At 63.1% G+C, this 19,100-nt stretch overlaps 1 protein-coding gene and 1 non-coding gene across 5 annotated transcripts, besides 9 other annotated features; both read left to right on the forward strand.

Annotated features, from left to right (window-relative positions):
* LFNG (LFNG O-fucosylpeptide 3-beta-N-acetylglucosaminyltransferase) lies at window positions 1,078-17,726 on the forward strand. 4 transcript variants are annotated; one of them, NM_001166355.2, is made up of 9 exons: window positions 1,078-1,250; window positions 1,706-1,877; window positions 13,244-13,292; window positions 13,768-13,867; window positions 13,963-14,116; window positions 14,234-14,319; window positions 14,793-14,958; window positions 15,385-15,470; window positions 15,695-16,978. In NM_001166355.2, exons 1-9 carry the CDS (start codon window positions 1,204-1,206, stop codon window positions 15,759-15,761), a joined length of 927 nt encoding a protein of 308 aa, NP_001159827.1. In that variant the 5' UTR covers window positions 1,078-1,203; the 3' UTR covers window positions 15,762-16,978. The 4 variants fall into 4 exon arrangements, with proteins under 4 accessions (NP_001159827.1, NP_002295.1, NP_001035258.1 ...); NM_002304.3 differs by lacking the exons at window positions 1,078-1,250; window positions 1,706-1,877 and adding exons at window positions 6,412-6,493; window positions 7,097-7,147; NM_001040168.2 differs by lacking the exons at window positions 1,078-1,250; window positions 1,706-1,877; window positions 15,695-16,978 and adding exons at window positions 8,323-8,842; window positions 17,423-17,726.
* Window positions 7,849-8,378: a silencer, noted in NCBI's record as "silent region_17875". NCBI's record gives its function as "represses an Ori minimal core promoter by ATAC-STARR-seq in GM12878 lymphoblastoid cells {active_cell/tissue: GM12878}" and the evidence as "EXISTENCE:reporter gene assay evidence [ECO:0000049][PMID:35858748]".
* Window positions 8,389-8,498: a silencer, noted in NCBI's record as "silent region_17876". NCBI's record gives its function as "represses an Ori minimal core promoter by ATAC-STARR-seq in GM12878 lymphoblastoid cells {active_cell/tissue: GM12878}" and the evidence as "EXISTENCE:reporter gene assay evidence [ECO:0000049][PMID:35858748]".
* Window positions 10,430-10,559: an enhancer, noted in NCBI's record as "active region_25533". NCBI's record gives its function as "activates an Ori minimal core promoter by ATAC-STARR-seq in GM12878 lymphoblastoid cells {active_cell/tissue: GM12878}" and the evidence as "EXISTENCE:reporter gene assay evidence [ECO:0000049][PMID:35858748]".
* Window positions 10,600-10,659: an enhancer, noted in NCBI's record as "active region_25534". NCBI's record gives its function as "activates an Ori minimal core promoter by ATAC-STARR-seq in GM12878 lymphoblastoid cells {active_cell/tissue: GM12878}" and the evidence as "EXISTENCE:reporter gene assay evidence [ECO:0000049][PMID:35858748]".
* Window positions 11,526-12,038: an enhancer, noted in NCBI's record as "H3K27ac-H3K4me1 hESC enhancer chr7:2562611-2563123 (GRCh37/hg19 assembly coordinates)". NCBI's record gives its function as "activates a minimal SCP1, AML or CMV promoter by ChIP-STARR-seq in primed H9 embryonic stem cells {active_cell/tissue: H9 hESC(primed)}" and the evidence as "EXISTENCE:reporter gene assay evidence [ECO:0000049][PMID:30033119]".
* On the forward strand, window positions 15,623-15,694 carry MIR4648 (microRNA 4648). The gene has a single exon (NR_039791.2). It is a non-coding gene; the product is annotated as a microRNA 4648 (primary transcript).
* Window positions 16,918-17,892: an enhancer, noted in NCBI's record as "H3K4me1 hESC enhancer chr7:2568003-2568977 (GRCh37/hg19 assembly coordinates)". NCBI's record gives its function as "activates a minimal SCP1, AML or CMV promoter by ChIP-STARR-seq in naive H9 embryonic stem cells {active_cell/tissue: H9 hESC(naive)}" and the evidence as "EXISTENCE:reporter gene assay evidence [ECO:0000049][PMID:30033119]".
* Window positions 17,893-18,866: an enhancer, noted in NCBI's record as "H3K4me1 hESC enhancer chr7:2568978-2569951 (GRCh37/hg19 assembly coordinates)". NCBI's record gives its function as "activates a minimal SCP1, AML or CMV promoter by ChIP-STARR-seq in naive H9 embryonic stem cells {active_cell/tissue: H9 hESC(naive)}" and the evidence as "EXISTENCE:reporter gene assay evidence [ECO:0000049][PMID:30033119]".
* Window positions 17,898-17,957: a silencer, noted in NCBI's record as "silent region_17877". NCBI's record gives its function as "represses an Ori minimal core promoter by ATAC-STARR-seq in GM12878 lymphoblastoid cells {active_cell/tissue: GM12878}" and the evidence as "EXISTENCE:reporter gene assay evidence [ECO:0000049][PMID:35858748]".
* Window positions 18,478-18,577: a silencer, noted in NCBI's record as "silent region_17878". NCBI's record gives its function as "represses an Ori minimal core promoter by ATAC-STARR-seq in GM12878 lymphoblastoid cells {active_cell/tissue: GM12878}" and the evidence as "EXISTENCE:reporter gene assay evidence [ECO:0000049][PMID:35858748]".

Here is a 19,100-nt window from a genome sequence, read left to right on the forward strand (position 1 = left end):
GTCTCCCCGAGGTGCAGCCTGGGGGGCTGTGGCAGGTGATGGGAGCAGCTGTATTTGAGGGCAGGGTCTGTCGGGGAGCCCCCCAGCGTGGGGAGAGGAGGAGGGACCAGGGAGTGTAACCTGGCAGCCCGCAGCAGTTCCGGCTGCTGCTTCTGTCAATACGGCCTTCCTGTTTTGGAGATTAAACCCCGGCTGAGCAAACAGCTTTCCAGGCGGCCCCTCCCTCCACCCCAGCCCCAGCCTTGTCTTCAGGTCCTAAGGCTGGGACCACCTGGAGGCTGTGGGGGTGGTGGGGGATGGAGGGGACCAAGCTTTGCCATCCCTGCCCTCACCAAGGCCTGGACCACAGCCTGAGCAGCCCAGCCCCTGCCCCTGCCGCAGCCTCCTCCCAGCCCCCCGCCGTGGGCTCCCCCGGAACCCCCCCGTGCGATCCTTCCAATCCAGGGCAGCCTCACTGTCCTGGACGCCCGGCCACTGCATCCTCTGCCCTTGTGTGACCTCCTGCAAGAAGGCGGGAGCACGCCGTTCCCGGGCCTCATGGCCAGACACAAGCCCACCTTGTGAGGACCCCAGGCGAGGCAGGAGAGCCACCGCAAGAGCCCCACCAAGGCACGGCCAGGGGAGGGCCCGCCATCTCTTGGATGGTTTCTGCGCCGTGGCCACTGACATTGAGGGTGGATCATTCTTGGTTGTGGGGCTGTTCTGTGCATGGGGGGCTGTGGGGCAGCCTCTCTGGGCCCTATAGGCCAGACCCTACTGTCTGTTCAGCCCCAGCCCGGTGGCGACAAATGAAAGTGTCTCCAAACATTCACTGTCAGGTGTCCCCAGAAACCAAGACGAGCACTGGATAACCCCGTCTGGGCAAGTCCCTAGCAGATGGCGTGCACAGAAACGGGCTGCAGAGAGAGGACGGTGCCTCCAATGCTTGGACTTTCCTCTGATGCCAGCCTCAGCCCAGCCTCTGCCGCCCTGAGAGAGACTCTGCCCCACCTCCCCACACCCGCCTCCACCATCCCCTCCTGCCAGGGTCCCACCCCTGAGCAACACGGCCCTGCCTTCTCTCTGCAAATCCTTCCCAGACTAAGCTGCAACACTGGCAGAGCCTCCCAAGGAAGGGAGGAGGGAGGACAGAGGCCAAGGCGGCTCCTGGCCACCCTCGCAGCTTCCTCCCTCCCTGGCCACAAGGACCCAAAGCTCAGAGGGATGGATGAACAGACAGGAAGGCTCAGGCTGGACACGTATTGTATGAGGTGGGCCTCAGGGTTGCTTTTCCTCCTAGAATGCCACTCAGAGCCGTCCCTCTTGCTCGTGAACCTGGAGCCCCCTATGTCTCCCCCAGTACCCCTGCATTCTACACCTAGATCCTCAGGCTTCTCTTTATCTCCAGCCTCACCTCCATGAATGCCCCACACACCTGTGCCTGACCACACAACCTCCACCTCCACCTGCTCCCACACCCCTGCCCAACTTCCACCTCCACCTGCTTCACACACCCCTGCCTGACTGCACAACCTCCACCTCCACCTGCCCAAGCCTTCAAGCCCCAGGGCAAATGTCACCATCTTTTCCTGGAAGACTTTCCAGAAGTCCCCTGCCTCCCAGCCCCAGCCCACAGTGGGTTCTCCCTCGTCTGGGCCCTGGGCACCTTTGGGCTGGACCCATTTTTCTAACCCCTGTTGAATCCTCACCTACTACCTTCCCCCAGTGCCAAGCAGATCTGGGCATGGAGCAAATGCTCAGGAAGGCTGTGGGATGAGCACATGAAATGGATGGAAGGATGGACGGACAGATGGACAGATGGATGGATGGATGGATGGATGGATGAGTGGAGCCCAACACCAGCTCTCAGGTCCTACGGAGGTGGCCTCTCTCAGCAGGTGTGATCGCCATTCCTGGGGACATAACCTCCCCTTCTTCTGCTTCCAGAGCAGCCTGGAATATCCTTTGATGCTGTATCGTCTTCCCTGATCCTTTCAAGGGGGAAAGATGGCCCATGGTAGCGATGGGGAGCCTGGGATCAGGGAGGTACACAAGCCCAGGATCACATAGCAAGCAGGGCTCCCCTGGGGCCAAGACTGACCCCTGCTCCCTCCACCCGGCCTGGAGCCCCTCCTCCCACTGCTCTGTATCCCATCCCACTGACATGGGCACGGGGTCATGACTAGGGTGGGGGGTCATGCCTGGGGCCTGACAGGCACCACCGTGGCCACAGCCCACCCCCTGCCTGCTGTGGCTGCCACACAAGCCAGCCATTCTTGGCAAGACAAAGGCCGGCTGGGGCAGGGTGGCTCTGGTGCCTCCCTGGTGGGTGTCTGGACTCTGCAGGACGTCAGTAAGTGGATCCTGGTGGCTGCGCTCTGATGCTGGGGGCTGCAAATCAGATTAGCCCCATCCAGCCCCATGGCCCAGCTGGCCTCAGACAGAAGCGCCAGAAAGAGGCGCAGCTGCCAGCCCAGGCCTGCCGTCCTCCTGGTGTGGACAAGCCCTGGCCTCCAGGCTGAGGCCCCTTGCTGTTCCTGCTGTGGGCTTAAGGGTGTGCCACCTCTTCTTTCTGGCCCCCTGGACCCGTCTGTAAGACCAACAGTTAGAGTGAGACCCCCTGAGGCCTTCTGGAGGTGGTGTTTGGAAATGCCCCCAGGGCAGGGCAGGCACATAGTGCCTAGGCACTGGGAATTCACCTTCAGCACAGCCCTCCCCCAGGCCCCAGGCCCTGTGCGGGCTCAGAGGCCAGCGGCAGCCCTGCCAGGTCTTCTCACCCTGAGACCTATGCTCCCCAGGGCTGGGCATTTGGGAGACAGAGTCAGAGAGGCGCCTTTGAGCCCTCTGTGTATCTGCACATCCACCCATCCATCCTTCCATCCAACCTCTACCAACCAATGTTCATCAAGCACCTGATACACACAGGCACTGCTCTAGGCCCTGGGGCACAGCCAAGAATCACATCACGGTCCCGCTGTCAAGCAGCTGACATCCAGCACCCTCCCAGCCACCCGCATGCCTCTGTGTCTATGTGTCTGTCCATCTATCCATTAGACCATCTGTTGGTCCATCTGTCCATTCACCTGTCCATCCATCCATCCATCCATCCACCCATCCATCTGTCCATCCATCCATCCATCTATCCATCCATCCATTCATCCATCCATCTGTCCATCCATTCATCTGTCTATCCATCCATCCATTCATCCATGCATCCATCCATCCGTTAGTCTGTCTGTCCTTTCACCTATCCTTCCAGCCATCCATACATCCATCTATCCATCTGTCCATTCACCTGTCCATCCATCCATCCATTCATCCATCCATGCATCCATCTGTCCATTCATCCATGCATCCATCCATCCATTCATCTGTCGGTCTGTCTGTCCATCCATCCATCCATCCATCCATCCATCCATCCATTCATCTGTCTATCCATCCATCCATTCATCCATGCATCCATCCATCCATTCGTCTGTCTGTCCATTCACCTATCCTTCCATCCATCCATGTATCTATCCATTCATCCATCTATCCATCTGTCCATCCATCCATCCGTCCGTCCATCCATCTGTCCATTCATCTGTCTATCCATCCATCCATCCATCCATCCATCTGTCCATCCATCCATCCATCTGTCCATCCGTCCATCCATCCATCCATCCGTCTGTCTGTCTGCCCATCCATCTGCCCCTCCATCTAACTGTTCATCCATCCACCTTTCCATCCATCCATCTATTCATCCATCCATCCATCCGTCCCTCCATCTGTCCATCTGTCTATCCATTCATTCATCCATCCAACCATCCATCCATCTGCCAATCTATCTGTCCATCTGTCCATCCATCTGTATGTCCATTCCCCCCACCATCAGTTCAACCAGTGTTTACTGAGCACCTACTTTGTGCCAGGCCCTGACAAGCAGCAAGAGGCAGCCTCTTCCCCCAGGGACACAGACGTAAAGGAGCAGCTACAACCTCATGTGATCAGCACCAGGATGGGGGTAGCAGAGGGGGATGGGGAGGACGTTCTAGGAGGGGTAGCCCTTGGTGGGCCCTGCAGGGTGCCTCAGGCCAGGATGCCCCCCGAAGCCTTGCTCAGCCACTGAGGCCAAGTCGGCTGAACTCTAATGGGCCTGGCCTCTCTGTCCATGCCTGACCCCAGAGTGCAGGCAAAAGGGCCAGGCCACTGTTGGAAAGGCCGTGGCTTCACGGCTGCAGAGCACCAACCCCAAGGCAGCCTGGTGGGCAGGGCGGGTGAGGCACCAGCCATATCCCTATTACAGAGTCAAGTAACGTCCCAAGACCCACAGAAGGGCACTGGCCCAAGACCACACAGTGGGCGAGGGGTCTGGGCATAGCAGGCAGGCAGGGTTGGGAATGGTGGGGGTGCTACTCACAGCTGGAGTCTGCTAGTCTCAGGGCAGTGCCCACTCCAGCTGCAGTAATGGGAATCAGCTGTGCCACCCTGCGGTATCCCTCCCCCGGCCTTGGGAGCCGGCTGTGCTGAGCCCAGCCAACCTTCCCATCACCCTCCTTCCTGCCACCAAGGGCTGCTCACAGAAGCTCCTGGGTCGGGACACTCACTAGGCCACGCCTGCCTTTTGGAAATCCATGGGCCCCCTGGCATCTGGGGGCTTCAAACACTGCCAGTTCTGATGCCTGGCCCCAGCCTGGGGGTTGGCATTCCTGCGTCTGTGTCAGGAGAGGACAGGGAGGTGCAGGCTTGCCCGAGCCACAGCCACCACCATGCTGAGTCCTGTCCAGGAGTTTCCATCTCTGGGCACTGCTACTGGCCCAGAGGAAGCTGGTTCCCAAGACACTGAGTGGGGCCGCTCTCCATCAGCCGATGAGTGGACAGGCGCCTCGGATGGCTTCCTGCCGAGTTAATGGGTCACCCATTATGTCTCCACAGATCTTCCCAGGACCCTGCAGGAAGGCAGGCCAGAGCAGCCCCAAGGAACAGCCCGGGGGAGGGAAGGCAGATGGCCACCTCAAAGCCAGCCCCGAGCCCTTCCCCTCTAGGCCTGAGTGTCAAGGGCAGACCCAGCCCATGGCTTTGGGGACCTGGTGGCACTGACTCCAGCAGGAGAACCCCCGGGCTGAGCCCTGGCAGTTAGAGGAGGCCTGGACTCAGATGGGGACAGAACACTGTCTCAGCCTGATGGCGGCTAGAGGAGGAGGGTAGGGCCCCTGGTCATGTGGGTCCTGGCTCCGTGGGCCTGCTTTCCACCTGACCTCAGCAGGCAGGTCTCTCGGGCCATTCGCACACCCAGCTGCCTGGGAGCCCCAAACTGGGACTGGTGGAGGGGCCCTGCAGAGGGGAAGACTAGGGTCCAAGAAGCCCATGAAGCCATGCGCCAGGGCCAGAGCTGGCCTGCCTGGTCTGGATGGTATGTCATCCTTGTGTTACAAGTGAGGAAACTGAGGCTCAGGGAGTAACACCACCGGTTCAAGGTCTTAAAGCCGAGAAGTGGCCCCTCTGGGTTCGGAAGGCAGGCTGGGCCCTGGGGCAGCCTCTATCCCCAGCCCCTCTTCCCCAGGACCCTACGGCCCCAAGAGGCTTCACTGGCAACTCGGTCAGCCCTCTCTAGCCCCCTCCCCAGCTCCCCTTTGTCCTGTCCAGGGCTGAGCACCATCCCACAGCCCACTTCCCTACCAGGGCTGTGTGGCCCAGTGGGCCCCTAGAGGGAGACCTGGGGTCTGGATGGGGAGGGAAGTGTTTCAGGCTGAAGCTGAGCCTGGGGAAGCGGGCGGGGGTGGCTAGGCGGGCCACCCCCTCAACAGTTTTCAGACCTCAAGAAGTCACCACGAAATTCCATTCTCCTGACAGCAAAGAAATTGATTCACTCTTGCCAAAGCCTGCGGCCCCCACAAGAATGCTGTAAAGCTTCCTCCCGCTGCTTCCAGACAGGCAGCAGCATCAGGTCCCCCACTCCTCCCATTCCTGGCTACAGAGAGACGCGGGAACCCCCCCTACCCAGTTCTATGCATGTGCCCCTGCCAGGCTGGGCCATCCACCTCTGTATGGTCACTCCCTTGGTACAATATCCCCCTTGCTTTCTCTACAATGGGCACATTGCTCCCACGACCTGCTGGGTCAAAGGCACCGCAGTCAGGGGTAGCTGGGGAGCAGGAGTTGCGGGGGTGGGGCGGCTCAGGGCAGGAAGCCCCATCCCCTGGCCTGGGAACTGTGGGGAGATGGACTCACAGCATCTTGTCAGGTGGGGTGCAGGGTGGCATGGCACCCACCATCGGTGCCACTGATGTAAAGTCCAGGTACAGAGCACAACCCGTGCACATATTTGGGGGCTTGGCCATGCTTGGCTGCAGGGGATTGAGGAGGGATTGGGCCTCAAGAAACGGGGCTGGGACTAAGTCACGAGGTGCGTGAATATCAGGCGGGACTTTAACTCAGCCAGTGGAGAGCTATGGAGGGTTTTGCTCTTTGTGTGGGTGTGTGAGTGGCTATGATCCTAGTTGTCCAGCTGCTGCGTGGAGAATAAGTAAAGCAGGTAGGATAGGAGTGGGTGGGATGGGGGTGGAGGCTGCCCAAGTGATTCAGGGAAGAGATGATGGGGATGGATGAGGCTCCGTCTCTGAAACAATTCAGATATGGGAGAGCCTGAAGTCAGCGGTGTGACTGAAGCACGTGGGGTCATGGACACCCCTCAGTCCGGAGGCTGGGGCTGGGCTGGGACTCAGCTGACTTTGTGGGGGCAGCCAACCCAGTCACTGGGTCCTTTTCTCCCCGGCTCACCCTCAAGCCTCTCCAGCTGCATGGAGGCTCCAGGGCTAGGCTCTGGCTGATCGGAAGGGGTTTATGGCAGGAGGTGACGCCATGGGAGACTTGTCACTTGGGCACAGCCAGCACCATCTGCTGGGGCATCTGCTTTCGGAGGTGGTGACTGCTAATTACCTGGGGCCAGGAAGAGGCCTGGGAACCCCCATCCCCCACACCACCCAGCGGGTACAGGGGCTAGGGGTGGGGCCCCTGGGGCCCTAAGAGCAAATGGGCTACAGCGTCCTTAGCGGGGGGAGAGGGTCTGACAGTGGGGCCAGACATTTATCCAGTGAATTTTTTCAGAGCACCTACTATGTCCCAAAACCTGTTCCAGGTCTGAATGACACCAGGTCGCTGCTGTCTTGCGGCTGACATTCAGGTAGAGGTAAGGAGAGGGGCTCCAAGGGCACTTAAAGAATTTAAAATGCCATCTCAGGCGTGAACATAACTCCGAGGGGGGCAGTTTAGCCACGGTGGTGGCGGTGGTGGTCGTGGTGGTCGCAGAGACCCTGCTTAGGAGGGCACGGGAAGACAGCGCAGCCACGGGCAGAGCCGCCTCCGTCCACGCTTCCGGAGGACGTGGCGGGCAGGGGGCTCACACCCTGCTCAGGCGACCCTTGGCCACTTCCGGGCCCCTCGCCCCTCACCCTCGGCTGCCGGCGCGCATTCCTGCCGCCCCCGCTCGTGCGAGGGGCGGGCCCGGGCCCGTGGGAAGGGCCGGGGATGGGGGCCGTGTGCCGGGGAGGCGGGGTGGGGAGGGCGCACAGCTGGGCCGCATCTGGCCCGAGCGCAAGGAGACCAAATGGGACAGAAGGCGGCCTTTCATCCGGCGAGGGAAGTGGCGGCCTTCGTTTCTCCTCGCCATGGGGCGCCTGAGGATTTCGGGGAGCCAACCCTCCCGACGGAGGGCCAGGATCGAGGAAATCAGCCAGGGAGGAAGGAGTGGAATTTGGTTCTGGTGCTTTCTCGTTAGAACCTCGTGTCCCCACCTGCGGCACAGGTGGCCAAGCTCTTGCTCTGTACAAATAACGGCTCCCCTGAACCGAGCGCTCGGGAAGACCCAGGCGCCACCCCAGTTTGCAAGGCCTGCCGCGTCCCAAGGGGAGGAAGCCGTGCTCAGGAGGGGAAGCGCACAGCGAGGAAGTAGGATGTCCCCCGCGGTGCGTCGGAGCCCAGAGCCCGGGTCTCAGCACCCTGCCCGCTGCGCCGAGGGCGCGCCCCTCCCGTGCCGGGACGCCCGGTGCATCCCCGGACGGCGCTGGCCAGGCTGGGTTTCCTCTTCAGGGACACCGGCGCGGGCCGGGCCCGTCCCCAAGCCCCTCGGCGGCCCGCAGGGGCTACCCGGGGCGGGGGGGGTGCGGGGCGTGCACGTGCGCGCCGGGGGCGGGGCCGCTGCGCCCTCTGGGCAGTTCCCAGCCCCCAGCCGCGGCCCCACGTGGGTCTGCGGGCGTGGAGCGGCGACCGGCGCGAGGCCCCGCCCCCGAGCCCGGGAGCCAATGAGCGCACGGGGGCGGGACCGGGGCGGGGAGGTTTAAGAGCGCGGGACACTGGTGCTGCGCTGCTGGACTGCGCCGCCGGAGCGACGGGCTTCGGGTCGGTGCAAGGCAGGCGCACGGGGAAGGGCGCGCCGCGCGGCCGCCACCCCACCATGCTCAAGCGCTGCGGCCGGCGCCTGCTGCTGGCGCTGGCGGGCGCGCTGCTCGCCTGCCTGCTGGTGCTCACCGCCGACCCGCCGCCGCCTCCACTGCCCGCCGAGCGCGGCCGGCGCGCGCTGCGCAGCCTGGCGGGCCCCGCGGGGGCTGCCCCGGCGCCCGGGCTGGGGGCGGCGGCGGCGGCGCCCGGGGCGCTGGTCCGCGACGTGCACAGTCTGTCCGAGTACTTCAGCCTGCTCACCCGCGCGCGCAGAGATGCGGGCCCGCCGCCCGGGGCTGCCCCCCGCCCCGCCGACGGCCACCCGCGCCCCCTGGCCGAGCCGCTCGCGCCCCGAGACGTCTTCATCGCTGTCAAGACCACCAAAAAGTTCCACCGCGCGCGCCTCGACCTGCTGCTGGAGACCTGGATCTCGCGCCACAAGGAGATGGTGAGCCCCCCGCGGCCTGGACTGGCGGGCGAGCGGGGCGGGGACCCACCATCTGGTCCAGCTGGTGGCAGTGTCCCATGGGAGTCAGGCTGCATCCCCATCCAGCCACTAGGGCCATCTGTGGGCGACGCCAGTGCACCCCGGTGCACCCAGTTTGCCTGCTGGGGCCACTCTCCCGTTACAGTTGTGTTACTGTCCCCGGGGCCCCGCCTCCTGTCCAGCTCCAGAGTCCTGGATGGCTGCAGGACCCTACACCAGTCTCCAGTGCTTGGGGTTGGTGCCCTGTGATACTTCTCACCCCGTAAACATTGGAGCGCATTCATAGGGCATTATGTCCTCAAACTTCCACAAGCAAATTCTGTTCGGACCCACCCTCAGCTCAGACCCCTTCCTGGGGAGAAAGGCTCTTCCTTTAGAGAAGTGAGGGGTTCTGACCTCTGGGCCCTTTCCTCATCACAGTGTTAAGGTACGGGGAGGGAGGGAAGTCATTGCTGGTTGGTGGGTCCTGGGGAGTACATCTCAAAGAACTCCAGGTTTTGGGGTCTGTGTGGGGACCCTCCCCGCACAGTGCAGTAGTCTCTGAGGCCTGCAACCTTGGGCACAGCCCACTTCAGTTGGGCATCAGCTTCTTACACACACATAATTAAGACACACCCCACTTTGAACATTTCCCTCGAGGCCACAGCAGGACGGTTGGGCTGGGGCGGGATGGGGACAGTGTGTGGGGCTTGCAGTCGGGGACTGGGGGGGTGTCTCTGGGCTGGGAGATGCAGAGGCATTTGCTGTGAGGGTGGGGGCTCAGGGAAGACCCTGCACGCCTTCCTCCCTGCTCAAACCCCGGAGACCCAGGGCCTTCTGACCTGGCGCTGTCCTGTTTTGGGGCACTGTGGGTGGGTGGGAGCAGGGCTTGGTGAGGTCATGAGGGCGACGGGGAGGGGCAGGGTCCTCCCTGGTCCTGGCGTGGGGAAGGGGCCCTGGGAACCCCATGGCAGCCTCCTGGGAACACAGCGTCCCATTCCCAGGGGCTCAGCGGGCTGGCGGGAGGGGGCGGCGGGGGCCGTGGGTTTTGTTTGGCGGCCGGGCCGTTAGGATTCCCAGCGCCGGGCGGCTCTCACGCCGGCCCCTTGGGCAAGGTAACAAAGCCCCTTTCTCCAGCGAGAAAGGCGTCGGGCCCCTTGTGTGCAGCTACGCGCTCCGTGGGAACCGCTGCTGGCGTGCTGGCCACTCAGGTTGCCTGGCGATGAGGGGACCAGCGGGCCCCCCCAGCATCTCTTACTGACAGTCCTTTTGGGGCACCATCCCTGAGCCTGGCCCCCCCACCCCCAGCACTCAAGCCTTACTGCTATGTGATCTTGGGCATCCTTCAGCCCCACTCTGGGCTACCACCAGCTCTGAGCACCTCTCATCTTGGAATTTGGGGCCTTTCTCCAACAGAGGGGATGTGGTCAGAGGGCTGGGCTGTGTGATCCTGAGCAAGACCTGGGGCCTCTCAGACCCTCACTCTGATCTCTGAAATGGGGGAACATGGTCCTTCCAGGAGCACGTTGTAAGAGACTGGCAAAGCCTGCAGGCATGGGGTGAACCCGGCGGGCACTCAGGGTCGAGGTGGGGGCCATCACTCCCTTGAGCCCTGAGGTCCCTACTGGAGGGTCACCCCACCAGGGGACAGGTTGAATCTGCCCTCAGCATCAGTTCACCAGCACACAGCAAGCAAAGACCCCCTTGTGGTGGGTGATGGGCAGGGGTCCTGGAAACCCACAGAAGAGGGCCCCCCTCTCCCAGCCCTGCACGGAATGACTCAGACATGGTCTGATGGGGGAGATAGAAAGATGTCAGGGCTGTGCGGGGGGAAAACCCCGAGAGGCTGTGTGAGGCAACAGTGGGCATCTGACCCACATGCTGGGGGAAGGGAGGGAGGAGGGAAGACTTCCTGGAGGAGGCGCCATTTGAGCTAGACTAAGAGTAAAAAAGTGCCCAGAAAGGGCACTCCATCCGGGCATGGTGATGACCACAGCATGGGGGTTGTGCAGGAAACTTCTAGCAACTGGAGTGGTGGCTGGGGGGAGGGTCGGTTGGTCAGCAGGGGCCGCGCTGAGATGGGCCTGGAGTCCAGGATGAAGAGCCTGGCCTTTGGCCCAGAGGTTCCCCGCCCCTCCCAGGAGCAGCCAGGCTGCCGCGCTGCCACCACAGCGGCCACAATTGCTGGGGAGAACTTGGCATCCTGTGTTTCTTTGAATCGCGGCTCCAGGAACAATGCTGCTTCCTGTGGGTGTCCCCCGGCCCCCGCCCCCGTCCACCCTCATCCACCCGGCTCTTCCTCCTGCAGCCCCGTCTTCGTCTGGAAAGTTAGGTGGCACTGGGGGGTCTGGGTCCCTAGAAGGCAGGGACTGGGCTGGTCTAGCACCGCCTCGGCCCCAGGGTATGACCTCAGGCTGGTGCCTGCACCTCTCTGGGCCTCAGTTTCCCCACTTGGGCCTCAGCTGGTAATGGCACCCACCTCCGAGGGCTGTCAGGGAGAGGAAGGGAGAGAATCTGTCTTTGCACTTTGTTCTCTGCCCAGGGGAGCTCTGTTATGCCCATTTTACTGAAGACGAGACTGAGGCTCTGAGCGGCAGGTGAGGCCTATAGCCCAGCAGCGCCTTTTTCCTCCCCTCCTGGTGGCTCAGGTGTCGGGAGACAGTTCGACCGGCACCCCCGCACCCCATAGCCCCGCCTTCTCAGATGCTGTTCTAGAGGCCTCCCTGCTCCCTGAGCTGAACAAAGGTGACTTTAATCTCCGTAGCCTTGGGCTGGGTTTTTAGGGCACCACCAAATCTCGGGAGAACAGGCCTCCCTTGATCTCATTAAGAAAGCATTTTCCTTTTAACCCAGCGGCGCAGTGGAGCGTCTGCAGGGGCTGGCCCTCCGCCTCCCACGGCATTCCTGGGCTGAGATTCTGGGGAGGCCAAGGGGCTGGGTGCGAGTCTGTGCGTGTGGCTGCCCTGGGGTGTCTATGGGTGCTGCAGGAGGGGTGCATGCATGGAGAGGCGGAGACCCAGCCTGCCACCCCCTTAGCTCTGGGCCTCACCCTAGTGAGCATGTGCCCAGGGCTGGGTCAGGCTGGATAAGGATCTGAGACTACCAAGGTGTTCCAGGGCCTCTGCGGGACCTGTGTGTACAGGGAAGGAAACTGAGGCTGGGTGGGCATCAGGGGGTTGTCCCTTGGTCAGAGCATTGCCCGTACACCCTGGGTTTTGCACTCAGCCATGCCAGGGTGCGCCGGGCGGCACGCGCTGGGCGGGCCGGGCAGAGGAAGGAACATTCCTCCCCGTGTGCCGGCAGGCCCAGGCGGGCGCCGGCGACTCCTGGCCCCGCCCTGGCGGCCCCCTCCTCTTCCGCAGAGCGCTCCTGGCAGGGGGCGGCCGCGTGCTGGCACAGGTGGGCTGTGGCCTTGGGCAAGCCTGGGTTTCCTTGCCTGAGCAGTGGGAGGGGTGCTGGGCTGCATGGGTACTGGGGGCCCCTGACCTGGGGGCTGGGGACACCTGAGGTTTCCTGCCACAACCCTGCTGACCGTTGGCAACTTTGCAGAACTTCAGGGCTGCTTTGGCTCAGAGTGGGTAGCTTGTCCTGCAGGTCACCCAGGACAGGGGTGCTGGCCCAAAGGGCAGCTGTGGGGTGGCTGCAGTGCTGGTGGCTGCACCCTACGCGCGGGACCTCATGCCCAGCCTGGCCCGGTTAACCAGGCCAGCTGTATGGTAATGGGCGGCGCGGCCACTCTGCTTAACTCGGCCGAGTTAAGGCCGGCCCGGCGCCCCTCTCCCGCCAGCCCAGGACAAAGCTGGCGGACAATGCCTGGTGATTCATCCTCCCTCCAGGCCCTTTGTCCGCCAGGGCTTGGCAGCCGCCCAGCGAAGGCCTTTGTCCCCAACCCCGAGTGATTGAGACTTGGCTTCCCACAGCCGACCTCCTCCGCCTGTCCCTCCCGCCACCCCGCCTGTCCCCCGCCTTTCCAGCAGCCTCCAAGTGGCAGGCTGGGTGCTGTGTCAATAAGGGTGTGTGCCCTGCCAGGTGCACGGGGCGGGTCGGGAACCGGTTACCTGGCGGGCGGGCGAGGCGCACCACCTGGCTCGTGCCTCACCGCGCCTGGACGACCTTGGGTGCAGCTGTCGAGGTTGGGGAGTGAGGCCCCCATCCCCCACCCCCAGGGCGAGTGAATGCGTGAGCTCTGGCCCAGATGGCACTGAGATGGGGCACTTGAGCCCTTCTCAGCACGAGTGGGGAAACCAAGGCCCGGAGAAGGGTGGGTGTCAGTGTGACGCAGCTGCAGCTGCAGCAACTCCAGGGCGCCCCGTCCGGCCCCCACAGATGGCCCTGGGGTGGGGATGAAGGGCTGCCTGCTGAAGGCCGATTTTCTCCTTCCAGACGTTCATCTTCACTGACGGGGAAGATGAGGCCCTGGCCAGGCACACGGGTGAGCCCTGGACTTGGGGCGGGAGGGGGCCCAGGCCTCCATCCAGAGCCGAACGCTCCCCCTCCAGTCTCCCTGCCCCTCTGGGCCGAGAGGTCACCAAGGGCAGGACAGGGAGGGCAGTTTACTCATGGGGTTTGCTCCATGCCCCGCCCCACCACTCGGGCCCCCCAATTCTCATGCAAATGAAGCCCATTCAGCCCCCCGGGTCCCTTTGAGCCCAGGCAGCGGCAACAGGTGGCGGGTGCTGGGAAAAAGCTGCCTGAATGGGCGGGGGCGGGGCCGCCCTGGAAGGGGCTGGGCTGCGGGAGGGTCCACAGGCCCAAGCCCCGAGCTAGGGTGGGGGAGGCTACGGCCGCCGGGCCCAGCTTGAACTAGGGGGCTTTTCTCGAGCCCCTGGGCCCTGTGGCGTCCCCCAGGCCAGGCCCCTCTCTGGGAGCCGGCTCAGACCTACTCACAGCCGCTCCCCTGTCCACAGGCAACGTGGTCATCACAAACTGCTCGGCCGCCCACAGCCGCCAGGCGCTGTCCTGCAAGATGGCCGTGGAGTATGACCGCTTCATCGAGTCCGGCAGGAAGTGAGTGTGGCCCCGGGGGACCCCCATCTCCCTGCCCGAGCCTGGCAGCGCCCGCCCCGGCATGCCCTCCCCCGATGGCCCTGCCTTGTCCTCAGGTGGTTCTGCCACGTGGACGATGACAACTACGTCAACCTGCGGGCCCTGCTGCGGCTGCTGGCCAGCTACCCGCACACGCGGGACGTCTACGTCGGCAAGCCCAGCCTGGACAGGCCCATCCAGGCCATGGAGCGGGTCAGCGAGAACAAGGTGGTGAGTGCCTGCCCCTCCCAGTCCCCCACGCCCACGCGGAGCGCACACCCGGAGTGGGGGTGGGACCGTGAGGGGCAGCAGCGCCTGGGTCTCAGGACACCTTCTCCCTTCTCCCAGCGTCCTGTCCACTTCTGGTTTGCCACGGGCGGCGCTGGCTTCTGCATCAGCCGTGGGCTGGCTCTGAAGATGAGCCCGTGGGCCAGGTGAGTGCCCTGCACAGGTTAGGCCAGCCCGGTCCCAGGCTCCTCGCCACTGTGGGGCCTGGCTTAGTTCATCTTCCCAGCCATGGGGTGTCCCCAGCCTCCTGTGTGGCACTGCCCACTTACTTCCTATATTCCACTTCCCTCTGGGTTTCAGAGGGCAGCTGTGTTTACGGCGGCTGCCCCCAAGCCTGACCTGCTCAGAGCAGCCAGGGGGGCGATGAGCACCCCAGGCACCATCCGGCAGGACTCTTCCCTGCACCCAGATTCCCTCCACAGAGAGCCACGGAGCACAGGAGCTGTGCAGGGAGTGTGCCCTGGCTGTGGCCAGGGGAGGCAGAGGGAGCTGCAGCCCAGAGCTCTCCTCAGGGCTCCTCTCCCTGAGGAGTGCAGCGCCTTTGCCTGGTGGGGCCTCCCCAGCTCCCAGCAGATGGCTCCCGCCTCTGCTCACTGGTCTGGGCCCTTCCCTCCCGCAGCGGGGGTCACTTCATGAATACGGCTGAGCGGATCCGGCTGCCTGATGACTGCACCATCGGCTACATCGTGGAGGCCCTGCTGGGTGTGCCCCTCATCCGCAGCGGCCTCTTCCACTCCCACCTGGAGAACCTGCAGCAGGTGCCCACCTCGGAGCTCCACGAGCAGGTGCACCATCCTCCGGGCCCCGCCAGGACTCCGAGAGCACAGGAAGGGACGTGTGGCTGCCGAGAGGGGCGCAGTGGGGTGGGGCACTGTTCTAAACAGGGAGGCCAGGCAGCACTCCACTGTCAGCCAGGGGGGGTCACTCCTGCCATGAGCTCAAAGCTGTTTATGGCGGGTTGTTTTCCTGCCGTCTCTTCTCTTCACTGTGATGCGCCTACTGTGCGTATTTTGTCCACGCTGGCAATGCAGCCAGCCCCAGCTGGTCCCCAGTTTGGGACCTTATTCCTGGGGTGTGCAGGGCAGGTGTCCTTCCAGGTCCAAGGGAGGCCAGGGCAGGGCCGTTGCCTCACTCAGGGCTGTGTGGCCAGCCTGGGGCGGGGCCCAGGGATGTCGGGCCCCTCCCGGCATCACTCCGCCCGCTCCCCACAGGTGACGCTGAGCTACGGTATGTTTGAAAACAAGCGGAACGCCGTCCACGTGAAGGGGCCCTTCTCGGTGGAGGCCGACCCATCCAGGTAAGGAAACCCCGGCCCAGATGGGCTTGCGTAGGGTGGCCTAGGGGCGTCAGGGGGCCTCGTGGAGCTGCAGCAGGGTCTCTCTAAGCGGCATGACTCTACATAGAGGTGTCCCCCGGAGTCCTGCTTGCTCGGGGTGGGGCCGCCAGTGTTGTGGGACTGCAAATGGGAGCTCAGCACCTGCCTGCCACCCACGCAGACCAGCCCCTGCTCTGTTCCCACAGGTTCCGCTCCATCCACTGCCACCTGTACCCGGACACACCCTGGTGTCCCCGCACTGCCATCTTCTAGTGGCCATGGCTGAGACCCAATCCCTGGGCGCCCCTGGTATCCAAAGGGCCCAGGGACCCTGTTGCGCTGCCCTGGCCTCGGCATTCGAGGCTCCCCTAGGGCCGTGCCTGTGCGTGTGCGTGTGCGTGTGTGTGTGTGTGTACTGCATGCCCACCCGGGTAGCAGGCTGCTGGGCAGTTCTGCTCTGTGGAGGGGCGGGCACCAGCGCCACTTATGTGCCTCTGCTCCGAGGGCCAGTGGGCTGCAGGGCCTGCTTGGAGGAAGGATTTGTGTGTCGGAGGCCACTCCGAGGGCAATTCTGTTAGGATTTTTGGATCTTTCTACAGCTACGGGGCTCCGGGCTACTTTGCAGGGATGCGATGCGTAGGTGCCTTTCTCTTCCTGCTGACCACAAGCTCTGTGCTGGGGGTACCTGTGCCCTGAAGTCCTGGCCCCTGTGTCATAGCCCCAAGTACGACTCACTGAGCCATGCTCATTGCAGGGGAGGCTGGGTCTGGGGGTGCGTGACCCAATCCCCTTCCTCCTGGCCTGGACGCTGTGGCTTAAGAGTAACAGCAGCCACCGCCCAGTTCCAGTGGCCCCACGAAGCCCCCAGTGGCTGGCTGTCCAGCTGGGCAAACAGTGGCACCCCTCCCAGCTCTTCTGAGTGGGGAGTCTTCCAGGCCTCCTCAGAGGTCTTCCCTTTGCCTCCCCAGGACAGGGTGAGTCAGAGCTCAGCATTTAATCTCCTCTCCAAAGTAGAGAGCAAGTCGCCCACAGTGGGCGTGTCTGTAAATATTGTGACAGTATTTTTTTACTGTGCTGTTTTTTTTGAAAGGGGATGGGTAAAAAGTAGGGTGTTCTTGTTTTTTGCTTGGGAGGGTGGGGGTGGGGGAGGGTCTTATTTTATCTTATCTTTTCTGTGGATCAGAAAAAACAGAAGCCAAACTCGGGGTCATCTTTGTTTTTAAAGCTGAAGTGGGACTGTCTGGCACTCTGTGTATTTATGCGTTCCAGCATCTGGAACCTCCCATCCCTGCCCTCCTCCTGTGTAGCTGCCACCTCCCCGCTGGGCCCAGCATGGCTCACCTGTCCCGTGGGCTGTGTTTCTTGTTGTTTTTCTCTTTGCAAAGACATAGCTAGGAAAGCGAATGATAAGGGAAAAGTTCTCAGGGAATTGAAGTGTTGTTGCTATGGTGACGTCCTTTTGCTGTGAATAAAGGTGCTCTTTGCAGCAATCCTGGGGGTCCTGGTCTTGGCTGGAGGTGGGGCCTAAGCCCCAGGGCAGCCAGGGTCAGGAGAGGCACACAGGTGAAGGGGAGGCTTGGCCTTGGGTGCACCGCATGGAGCAGGTAGATAGGAAACGCTTAGAGACAACTATTTTGGAACGAAACCTGGCGTCACTATAGCTGCCTGCTGGTGACTACAGGTGCGGCCCACCCAGGGTCAGGGTGGTCGCTGGAGCGTGAGCCCTGTGCTTCCAGGAGGAACAGGTCTAGGATGCTGGGGGCTCTAGGTCCCAGCCAAAAGCACAACCCCAAGGCTCTGGCCTGGTCTGGCCACTGGGGAGCCCAGCCCCTGCAGGAGGGACAGTGACTCCTGTGACCGGGCCTGGGGCCTCCTTATCCAACTTCACTCCTGCCACGAGCTCACAGAGTCCACATCATCGCCTCACTTTGCAGGTGGGGAAACTGAGGCACGGAGCAGCTGATGCCCAAGGTCCAGCAGCCATGCTGGTGGGCTGGGGAGGCGCTCAGACTCCAAGCCAGGCAGGCCGTGGGTCCGGCCGCCCCACAGCTGGTAATGCTGCACCTCCCTCTCCTGTGATGTGGCCCCAGGCCCCGACCCCGCTCAGGGGTGGTGGGAAGAGTCCTGGAGAGCAGGAGCAGTGCCGGAGCCCCCACTGCAGCTGGTCCCAGCCCCTGCAGAGATCCAGACGCTTGTTTTTTAAATACAGCAGCTCTGCGGTGCTTTTCCTTCCTCAAATCCAGCCTTTGAGGGTGACTGAGTAGGGGACGGGTGCTGCAGCCTCTGCGGGGATTCCCTCCCCTCACCCTCCTGGCAGCCCCGGGGCGGCTCACTTCCTCTTCACCATGAGCCCCCACCCCTTCCCTGGGGCTTACACCCTTGGCCTGGCACTGCCCTGGCCGCGCCCCTTGCAAGTTCCTGCTCTGGCCTGACCCTGCTTCCCCCGACCCCAGGGCTCCAGGTCCCCCTCCTGGTGCCTCTGCACCCCCCACTCTGCTCCAAGGAGACGACACACTGTGAAAAGTGCCTCTCTATGGGGGGGTGCCTTGCCCTCCCCCGTCGCTGCCCCCTCCAGAAGAGTGCTGACGTGCTGAATGGGCCTGCAGAGACCCCCTTACTCTAAGCCTGGCTGGGGGCTACCCTGGCCTTGGGGGCGGCTGGCAGGGCTGTGACCCCACCTTGGCCTTGGACGGTCCTGAGTCAGCAGAGCAGCTGCCTGGGGGGTGTGGACAGTGATGGGGATGGCGGGAGGATGGAGGGCCCTCACCGTCACGTGGCCTGACCCCCGTCTGGGTGGCTGTGGTCCTCCCTGAGCACCCACCATGTGCCCACCCACTTCTCATAGGACGGCATAGGCCCCTCTTCTGAACGAGGAAGCTGAGACTCTGGGGTGGGGCGGGGGGGTCGTGACGGAACAGGCTGCGGGCAGAGGCTGCTGGCCTCCTTCCTGCCCGGCTGACTCAGAGGCTTGGGGCCTTCTGCCCTGGCCCCGACGCTGTCCCCGCCTGCAGCTGGCATCGCCTCCCCACAGAGCTGGTGGGGCCCCGGGGGCAGAGGTGTGGCTGGACCCAGGGGTCGGACAGACCCATGGATACAGCTGTGGGGGCCCTGCCAGGGCTTGGGGAGTCCCCATTAATGTTCATATGTCCCTGTGTGTGGAGCGGGGTGGGAGTGGGGGCTAAGTGGGCATCGGGGAGAGCAGAGGAGCAAGAAGTGGGGTGGGGAGGAAGCCCGGCTCCTCCCGAGGCCTCGACCTCTCCATCTGACAAATGGGAACAAAGGTAAATGCAGTCCCCGGGTGCTGGAGGTCAGGGGGTGTTTTGGAAGGTGCACAGGACAGCGCATCTGGCCCCTTCCTCTTCCAAGCTGAGGGAGGGACGTTTCTCTGCCCTCAAAAGGGGAAGCAGGCCCAGCAGTGTCTTAGGGGAATGAGGCAGCCTGACCTCTTCCATCCACCGCCCCCCCACCCCCCAGAAGGTGACTCACCCGGCAGGGGAGGTGAAGTCATTCCTCCCCCAGGTACATTCTGGGGACAGCTGTGTCCCACCCACCAGTGGTGCCATCACATCAGATTAGAGGTCTGGTCAGAAAGGGGCCTGGCTGGTCCCTGGG

The sequence above is a fragment of the Homo sapiens genome, chromosome 7 (assembly GCF_000001405.40).
Source record: "Homo sapiens chromosome 7, GRCh38.p14 Primary Assembly".
Classification (NCBI taxonomy): Eukaryota; Metazoa; Chordata; class Mammalia; order Primates; family Hominidae; genus Homo; species Homo sapiens.